At 38.0% G+C, this 10,814-nt stretch overlaps 1 pseudogene; it reads left to right on the top strand.

Annotated features, from left to right (window-relative positions):
• CTBP2P4 (CTBP2 pseudogene 4) lies at positions 700-1,818 on the top strand (annotated as a pseudogene).
• Positions 1,819-10,814: the final 8,996 nt, after the last annotated feature.

The raw sequence follows: 10,814 nt of genomic DNA on the forward strand, positions 1-10,814 counted from the left end.
GGCTTGTGAGTTCTGGCTTTGGTAGGGCAGTTGCGCCTTCTCCATACCACTTGTCCACCAGCCTGCAAGTGATGTGAGCTGGCTGTGGCCTTAATAATGTCACAATGGCCTTCTTCCCCTACACTTCAACCTCCTACCCTTTCCCTTCTCTCTTTCTCTGGGTTTCTTATGAGGAAAGAGTCAGAAAAGAAATGCAATCAATAAGAAAACACTAAAGTGAAGGTGGATGACAAGCAACTGCTGCCTAGTGCCAAAAGGGCACAGATCAGGCCCAGCCTCATTTTATTTGTGAGCTCGTATCACAGCCTTTGGCATAATCCTTTGGGATAAATTTTCTACACTTTCGAATCTCTGAGTAAGTGAATGGATGGAGAGGGAAACTTGATAGTGTAATAGCGCACCAAGGCTGAGTGTGTGCATCCACCAAAACACACATACCTCCATGCCTATTCGTGGGAGTACCTTAAACTGATCGAACATGAAATAAAATGGTCAGCAATATCAAACATAGTAAATATAGTCCAATATTTAAGATCGTTTTGTGACCACAATCTCATTATTCCATTGGAAGTAAACACTGTATTCGCTTGCTCCATTCCTTTGATAGATTAAGTGAGACAGCCAGATTGACATAACCTAAATCTTCTGATTCTTAAACCAGTGATCCATATTTCTGGTTGAGCACTCTATACATTGCTTTCTGCCACATCCTCAATCTCTACCGGAGGAACACGTGGCTGTACCAGGCACTGTGGGAAGGCACGCGGGTTCAGAGCGTGGAGCAGATGGGCGAGGTGGCCTAGGGAGCGGCCCGCATCCGTGGGGAGACGCTGGGCCTCAACGGCTTTGGTTGCACGGGGCAGGCATTGCAGTTCGAGCCAAAGCCTTTGGATTCAGCGTCATATTTTATGACCCCTACTTGCAGGATGTGGTCGAGCGGTCCCTGGGCGTGCAGAGGGTCTACACCCTGCAGGATTTGCTGTATCAGAGCGACTGCGTCCCCTTGCACTGCAATGTCAACGAACATAACAACCACCTCATCAATGACTTTACCATAAAGCAGATGAGGCAGGGAGCATTCCTTGTGAACGCAGCCCGTGGTGGCCTGGTGGACGAGAAAGCCTTAGCACAAGCCCTCAAGGAGGGCACGATACGAGGGGCAGCCCTCGACATGCATGAGTCGGAGCCCTTCAGCTTTGCTCAGGGTCCGTTGAAAAATGCCCCGAATCTCATCTGCACTCCTCACACTGCCTGGTACAGCGAGCAGGCGTCACTGGAGATGAGGGAGGCAGCTGCCACAGAGATCCGCCGAGCCATCACAGGTTGCATCCCAGAAAGCTTAAGAAATTGTGTGAACAAGGAATTCTTTGTCACATCAGCGCCTTGGTCAGTAATAGACCAGCAAGCAATTCATCCTGAGCTCAATGGTGCCACATACAGATATCCGCCAGGCGTCGTGGGTGTGGCTCCAGGAGGACTTTCTGCCGCCATGGAAGGGATCATCCCTGGAGGCATCCCAGTGACTCACAACCTCCCGACAGTGGCACATCCTTCCCAAGCGCCCTCTCCCAACCAGCCCACAAAACACGTGGACAATCGAGAGCACCCCAACGAGCAATAGCAGAGAATGCCAGAAGGTAATCACTCAGATACACTTGGGACCAAGAGACAGTGAAAAATAGATGAACTAAGAGAAAAAGAATCGGATGGTCTTTGTAACTGATTCTGGGCATATGCATCATTGATGTTGCAGTGTTAAAACTACAAGAGCTAGAAAACTAAAGATGTCGTCTGCTTACGGAAGCGCTGAAAGACTAGGATGTGATTTATTAACGACCAACTTCTGTTATTGTGTGTTAAGCTTTTCATCTGTGCATCAAATCACAAAGAATAAATAGAGCTTTTTCTTTTATCAGTCCGTTGGGCACAGCAGGTCCTGAACACCCTGCTCTACAATGTTGCATCAAGAGTTCAAACAACAAAATAAAAAATATTAAGAGGAAATCCCCATCCTGTGACTTGAGTCCCTTAAGTCTACAGGGGCTGGTGACCTCTTTTTTGCTAATAGGAAAATCACATTACTACAAAATGGGGAGAAAACTGCTTGCCTGTGGTAGACACCTGCATGCATAGGATTGAAGACAATACAGGCCCCTGTACAGAGAAGTGTCTCACGTCTGAACTGCATCCTGAGCGGGCAAGTTGGTTGTAAGTTCAGTAAAACCCTCTGATGATGCAAAAAAAAAAAAAAAAAAGTATTAAGTTCCACAAGCTGTTTGTACTCAAATATATTTTCTCAGTTTCAGATCCTCTGCTATTTTATTGAGTGGAAAGTCTTGAGCTAAAAGGTTCAAGAAGAATAATGTTGCATTTCCTTATGTCTCAGGAAATACTTTTTATGGTAACTTGTCAGATTGTCTATGAACAAACCCACTTTTTTAGACATTGATAAAGTCTTCTTTTCTTCATGTGCTATTTTATACAAGAACACTTCAGGTGTATTAGATGTGACTGATTTTAACAAATCCTATTAGATTTGTATCAACTAGTTGCATGTTCTATTCATAGTCTTTTGTGAATCATTGCCTTTTTCTTTAAAAAGATGGCCTATTTTGAGCCTTTGTATAGGTACATTCCTGTTTTTGTGACAAAAGAAAAACTTTAAAATTGTCCCAAGCAGAAAAATAATGGCTATTAGAAGTATGTTTTGTTTTAGTGTGAGTTACCATTACTGTATTTGTTTATTGTAAAGGTGGACATTTAGCGTTCAGTGTAGTTTTCAATAAAAAGTAATTAAAATTTGTTAAAAAAAAAAAAGAAAAATCGTGTTTTATCTTCCTTTGTCTTACATTTCAGACAAGTTCCTATATCCTTCCCTTTTTATTATCTATGTATGGATTCCAACTTTTTCACCCTGGTAAAAGAGGCAGACTTTTCAAGCTTATAACAACTGCTTATCTAATTGTATTTTAATAGAGTACACATTATTGTGTTTTTTGCTGCAGCAGCATTTTTTTTATTTTTATAGACTAAGGGGTACATTTACAGGTTTGTTACATGGATATGTTTTGTAATGGTGAGGTTTGGGCTCCTAGTATGCCCTTCACCTGAATAGTGAACATAATACCTCATTGGCAATTTATCAACCCTTACCCCTCTCTACCCTTCCCCCTTTTAAAATTCCCAATGTCTGTTATTTCCCTTTCTATGTACATGTGTGCCCGTTGTTTAGCGTCTAGACAGTATTTAATTTTCTGTTTCTGAGTTATTTTACTTAGGATAATGGCCTCTGACTCCATCCATGTTGCGGCAAAAGAAATGATTTCATGCTTTTTATGGCTATGTAGTATTCTATGGTATACATAAACTACATTTTCTTTATCCAGTCATCCATTGATGGACGCTTAGGTTGTTTTCACGACTGTGCTATTGTGAATATTGCTGTGATAAACATATAAGTGCAGGTGTCTTTATTCTTCTTTTCCTTTGGTGTAAGGAAAGATATGTATTAAACATGTTAGAATAGGTATCTATGCACATGTATGTGCACACACAAACACTACACATGCACACATACCTCACACTTACACCAGGACCTAAGAATCCAAGGCAATTCAGAGCCTGAAGCATCATTTTGCGGTGTATAAAATGAAACACATTTCCATAAAAAACTAGCATCATCACACAGTGTATTTCCGTTTTGTTGTTTTGGTGGTGGTGATAGTGGGTTTCTATTGGACCCCAGGTACGAAGAGTTAATCATATTCAATTCAAAGCTCTTGATCACCAGTCATCTGAGCAAGCTCCCTCTAATCTATGTATTCACTCCCTTTTAGCCCTTTTTTTCTCATCCACATAGATAGCTATTTTAACATGTCTAATATATGTCTTTCACTTGTAAGCATGCTCTATAAGACAACTTATAAGTTTATGGCATCATTCTAAAATTTTAAAAAAATCTATTTCTTTCAGCTTTTAAATGTTTCAAAGTGTGTTTTGTGCTTTCAGCTTTAAAAAAGAGAGAGAGAGAAAAAGAAAACTCCCCCTCCATACTATCACTATTAGAAACAAATTATTCTCCTAGGAGACTTCTCTCCCCAGTCCTTCTAAACTACTTGTTTTCCAGACTGAGTTCTGCATCCTTTGCTCCATTGCTCTCATTTCTCTCCCAGCTCTCTCATCTTTTGGAGTTTACCAAAACACAATGGAAATTATGCCAATTATTTGCCAGAAGGCGAATGTGTACATGGAAGTTTCAAAAGATAATTTTCTAATAAGCCATATTTATCTTGACTTTTTCATTTTCATGTTCTTCCATATTCATCCCTATATAATATGGCTAAGAAACTGTAATCTGTGCTGGGTGCTTGGGAAAATAGAGGGAAAATGCATGCTTCTCAATCCTTTTATTCCAGCCCTCACATTAAGATTTAGAAAAAAATAAGCCTGTTAGAGAACAATCAAGGCGGCATTTAATTAGAAGCCAAAGCCAATTTTTCTAGAACTTTATATTTCTAGTGAGCCCTTCACCTGAATAGTGAACATAATACTCCATTGGTAATTTTTCAACCTCACTCCTCCCTACACTGCCCTCTTTTGAAGTCTCCAAGGTCTATTATTTCCCTCTGTATGTCCATGTGTACCCAATGTTTAGCTTCCAGGCAGTATTTCAGGAAAATCACTGGGGTTGATGTGGTCAAACAAGTCTTTGTCATAGTCTTCTTCCTTTTTCTCCATTAATCTATTAATAACTCTAATTCACAGATGAGGAAATTTAGATTTAAAGGGGGTAACTAATCCAAGACCATATAATGTTGGGACTGAAATCAAGAGTTTTTTTAACTCTAAAATCTACACACTAAAATGGGTTCTCCAATTATTTACTAGTATGGTCAAAACTTGATGTGGCATTATAGGGATGTCTCCATTATTCTGCAGTCCTCATTTATTCAGCAATTTAGGCCCATCCTGTGTGTCAGGTGCTGTGCTAAGCATTAGAGATAGAGAACTTAGCTAGTACAGCATCTTCTCTAGTTAGTTGAAGGCCTGAGCAAAGCAAATCAGGTGAAGTTTAGTAAAGTGCACATCAATGGCATTCATAAAGTGGAAAAATATAATAAGGAAGCCTAAGGAACAATGAGCACAAAATTGAACCCCATTGTGGCTTACTATAGCTTCAACTAATTTTTCTGCAAAATGAGCCTGCCTTTCCTCAATACAGTCTCACCCCTGATTGGTATCCCACATATTGGACTCATTCTCATAACTTTAGATCAAACATGACATATTAGTACGTTTATTTTCATGGTTATTTAAAATGATTCTTTGGGTTTTAACCTTCAGTTGTTAATTTTATATACATAAAAACATGATCTAAAATCTGCTTCTGATTAAAAGATGAAGATTTCCTAAAATCCATGTAACAATCTATTTGTTTCACTCTTTAAAAAGCTGTTCCCTGACATCCATAAAGCAGCAATGAATGAAAATAAGAAAAGTCATTTTGAAAAATATGTCCTAAAATCTTGTGTAGGCCCTGTAGAACTTTGAGCTAATGAAGCCATAGTTTGATTCTTGCCCTCTCTGATCCCACCAATCATCAATGCTGTAAGCAGTATCATGACAAAATAGACAGGATATGGAAACAAATGCTGGTCAAGACTCTCAAAAGGGTCACCTCCAGGTCACTCATCCACATGAGCAGCATTTTACAATTTGGTTCAGTGCTGCCTGAGACACACATTAACTTTAACTGAAGCAAATTTCTGAAGATTTTCTCAAGAATGAGTCCAAGCAATTTCCCTTCTTTCTTCATTTGTAATGTGTTGACATTAATTAGTACCTAATTCCTGGACTGTGTTCAGGCTTCAGTGAAAGACAGAAAGGAATGATTTTGGAGCAGATTAGGCACATAGCCTCCTGGTCCAGTTCCAAAGAGTGAAGAAACTGCCTACTGCTCTCAGGATCAGGTCCTCCTCAGTCTGATTCATAGTTCTCATTAGGAACCAAAAATCTTAAAAGAGAAAAGGAATTGGTTCTACTTAATAATAGTAATCACTTTTTCTTAAGAAACTCAAAATATCCTGGGTTATAGTCCAAGATCTGTGAAGAATAAAAGATAAAGTCATTTAATGACTATGCATGGTGACTAAGCAAACCAGAGTCAAATGCAGGCCTGACTCCAGGACCTTCTGGCTTTATGTTACTTAAATTTTATATATTTCTTTATACATCCCTGATCCAACAGCTTCTACATGATGTAGCAGCTTCTACGTTTCAGTGAAAATGAGCTTTGTAAAGGATAGCCTCATGGTATCAAGTAGGCTATATCTAAAATCAAAGTATGGCAAGACTGAAAGAGTAGTATGGAGTACTCCAGGTATAGTAGGTCTTTGCCTAGTAAGAGAAGTCTTCTACTTGTTCAAAGAGCTGTGATAGTCCTATGCCATTTCAGAGCCTCACTGGAAAATGTTATTAAAGGCCACTGTTTGCCCTCAACCTGGTATATTTCGCTCTTCATTTATAAAATATATCTGATTATTAGAAAGCTGGGATAGGGAATGCACAAATTAATAATAAATTATGAGAAAAGATCATCAAAATTGTGGTTTTTAAAAGAGTATCTGAAGCCACGTGCAGTGGCATAGGCCTGTAGTCCCAGCTACTTGGGAGGCTGAGGTGGGAGGGATGCTTGTGATTAGGAGTTCAAGACTAGCCTAAGCAACATAGCAAGATCCTGTGTCTATAAAATGTAATTTAATTTAATTTAAAAACAGAGTAAATACCACACAGATACTAATAAATGATACAGCAATGACAAGCCTGAAACAGCAGTAATACATACAGCAACATAAATAGTATCTGAGGAAAACAAAGAAAATCAGACTGAGATTTATAACCTAGCCCCATTTATAAAAATTTAAAATGCAAGTACACGAAACAGCAATACACATTTCACAAGAACACATACAAACACAACGATATATAACAAACACATTAGGTTATTTTCTGGAGGAAAGAAGGAAATAGATATGAGAAATGGAACAAAATAGGATGAAGAAATAAAAGAGGGGCTTCCCCAGGACCAGTAATGATAAGGAACCATGAGCTAAGGAATATGATTAACTCAAATCTGCATCTGCATTAAAAAAAAAAAAAAAAAGTCCAGAGCTAAATAGATGACATAGAACTTCTGGCTCCCAGTTTCTGGCTCCCTCTTCTGTGCTTTAAGGCAATATTGTGAAGTCTAGCCTATTAACAAACACATCACAAGCAAATCCCTCACTATGTATGCTCATGACTGGGATTGCAAGAACACTACACAGAAATCTACAGAAGAGGGGACCATGTGTGCACACTGTCTTCTTACATGTAAGCAAGGAAAAACATAAACTTTCCTGTAGTAATAAGAAATAAGACTTAGTGCATGTGAATTTTGGATTTATTTGAGCCTTTTAGTTTGTTATCACCTATTAGAGAAGTATCCGCTAAACCTGATCCACATTCAGGAAAAGGCAAAATTACCTGTTATAGACTATTCACTTTCCAGTCAAGACACTTAGGTTGGCAGGTAAGAATACATATATTAAAGAAACACCCAATATTTTCAGCAAGACAGTAACTGAGCAAATTTTCTCTTGTCATCTTCCCTTTAGCCTACTCTCCCAGATATGTGTCCATATTCATACCCATAACAATAGTCTAACATTATCTAACTTGCTTAGAAGAGAAAAAATAGTGTTACTATTAAGGCAAGACCTTATAGCAATTATGAAAATATAATCTCCTTCAAATTAATTTTTAAAACAACAATGGATATTTTAAGCACTAGTTACTCGTTGATGGTGGATTTTCCTTTTTTTTTTTTTTGCATGCTTTGCATGAAAGTTTTAATACTTTAGAAGCCTTCAGATTTTATGAACCCAAACATAATGCTTGTGAATACCCGTGGAGACCTCCAGCCCAAAGCTCCCTCTCAGGGAATAGCCTGAATATTAAAAATTCAGCAGAACTGATTTTAAAATAGTTGAGCTTTTCAAGGGGATGGGTAATCTATCATAATGGAACATTAACTTCACTTGAAGTCCACATTTATGGTTCTGTTTTTATGATGCCGTTATGATCTTTACTCCTAGTCTTGTTATTCTGTGATCAGAGTGTGAAAATACTGCAGAGATAAGTGACAAAGAGCTTAGTTGCCAGTTAGTTGAGGTTTAAAAGTTATTTGCCAATAGATTTTTCAATGCAAGATTTTTAAAAGGCCATTATCTGTCATTGTAAAAGAAATGTGGCCTGTGGTTCATGCAATTAAAATAACTCCTAATTACATGAGATTAGATTTGCTTTCTCCATAGTCTATTTCATACGGAATAAATCAAAGGATTCATCCACTTCTTTTTTTTTTTAATATCCTTAAACTCGTGTCTTCTTCCTGAGCAAGAGATATGATGTAGCTTGCCTACTGTGTGGATCAACCTAGTGACCTGCACAAAGTAAAAGAAAGAGTACCAGCGTTACCTCCTCCCAAAAAGTAGAAGTTATTTTAGAGTGAAGGAATAAAACACTTAGCCCTTCTTCTCCTTCTAATGCAATTCAGCATATTCAATTTTTTATCTAAATTACAGATTCATTTATTTAAATCTTTATTCATAAGAAAACCCTTATTTTAGAGTCAATATTTAATAATATTTAATAAATAAAAAATATTTATTAAGCTCTTGCAATAAGCCAACCATAGTTCTAGTCACTACAGTGGTGTTCCTCTAAGCATGACTTTCAAATCACCTACAATTGAGTCACTAGAATTAATACCAATATCTCAATTACCATTCCCCAACCTAGAATCAGAATCTCAGAGGACAGGACCCAGGAATCTGAACTGTTGAAAGCACCCCGAAATTATTTTGAAAACCCCAATTTAAAAACTGATTCCCTGCCATCAAAATGAGAATGTGGGTAGGAGATAGTAGATCTAGACTTAGGGTAAGTAAAAGCTAAGCGATAATTTGTGTCACTTGCGGAATAAACCATTTAATTGACAATGCTCTACTCTGTATTCTTACCTTCTTCTGACATGGCAAACCCTGAAACCTCATGTTCAGTTGGTATTACCATAAAATGTTAGTGTATCTCCACTATAAGTTGAACTGTCTTGCCAGTCCACACTGGACATGTAGCATTAGGTAAAAAAGTCACCTTTCTTGATTTAAGCCACTGAGATTTGTGGGACTGTTTGTAACTGCAGCAAAACCAGTTTGTCCTGACTGATGTAGACATACCTGCCATCTTTTCTCCTATAGAAAGGTTACTATTATTCATTCTTTGCCTTGAAAACAAGCAAAAGTGAATAAGAAAATCCAGAACAATCAGGCATTTTAAGAATAGAAGAACATCTAAAGAACAATATTTTAATTAATAACACTATTGACTCTTTCCATATGTTAGGCACTTTGCTAAGGGTTTTCTATGTGAAGATTTACAGACAGGACTTGCCTAGCAAAGGCAATACTGAGAGCAAAGACCCTAAGACTACAATGAGCCTGGCATGTTTATGGAACAGAATAAAAGACCCATGTAACTAAAACATATTTGAGGGTAGGAAGAGAATGGTAAAGGATGAGGAGTAAGAGTTAGGATCAGAAAATTTGTTAGGAACCAGATTGCACAGGCCTTGTGAGCCATGGAAAACATTTTAGATTTTATTCTTTGTTCAATGGAAGCCATTGGAAAGCCTTAAGCAAGAAACTACATTAGAGTGAAGAGGAGCACAAATCATGAACCACAGAAAGAAAAAATAAATTTTTCCATTAAATATATTGGTACTTAACTGTCATCTTTGGTCCATTTTACTTGTGTGCCCTATATAGTCATATTTAATCTAGGTTTTATAAAAATATTATTTCTCCAAAATTAATTTAAAAATGTTTGTCTTTGTGGTGGATTCCCATATATCAATAAAACTACTTTTTGTTTCATTTAACAAACATCTATATAGTCTTCCTTTGCAACCGACACTGTGGTGCAAAGATAATTGAGACAATATATCAAACTCTGTGAGGAATCTCTCTAGCTTCAACTCCTTTTTTCTAAGACCATTTCACCTTCTTTCCAATGAATCCTCTTTTGTCTTCAACCAACATCAATCCTCTTTGTTTACAGACTGAGCCACAAATTCCTCAACGTTCTTGGCTTCTTTTCCCTTCACCCCCACTCTGTGTTAAACACCATTGACCTAAACTTGACTTCAAAGATTGATCATGCAGGAACTATCACTGAGACTTGGCCATGCAGAACATGAGCCTCTTTTTGCCACTACCTACGAAGGGGGTGGAAGGGTAGAGAGGGAAAGTTACCAAGGAATAATGGGAGGAACCAATCAGATCCCTCAGCTAGACCCAATTCCTCAGTGAACTCAGCTGTGCTGCAGCATCAGAGAAGCAATAAGAAATATGATTTCTACATTTTGTTCTATTTCAGTGAGTCACCTGATCAGGATGATTCAGGACCCTTTTATGGGAAATGCCATAGAGACCTAAGTAAAACATATTCTTTAGATTCCATAAGGCCAATGTTGTTCCCCTGGTAGCTTGGGATAAGGAGAGATGCTGCCATTGCCATTAGAGCCTACAAAAACCAACTTGGGAAGACGTCCCTTTCATCCATTATATGTAATATGTAAAGGCCGAACTTGCTTTTTACAGCTCCAATATGGAAATTTCCATTACCATGGTTTAGTTAAATAACACTGGTCCCCAGCAACGTGGTTCACATTTCCATTACCACAGTATATTAACTGTGAGTAATTGCATAAGGCA

The sequence above is a fragment of the Homo sapiens genome, chromosome 5, assembly GCF_000001405.40.
Source record: "Homo sapiens chromosome 5, GRCh38.p14 Primary Assembly".
Classification (NCBI taxonomy): domain Eukaryota; kingdom Metazoa; phylum Chordata; class Mammalia; order Primates; family Hominidae; genus Homo; species Homo sapiens.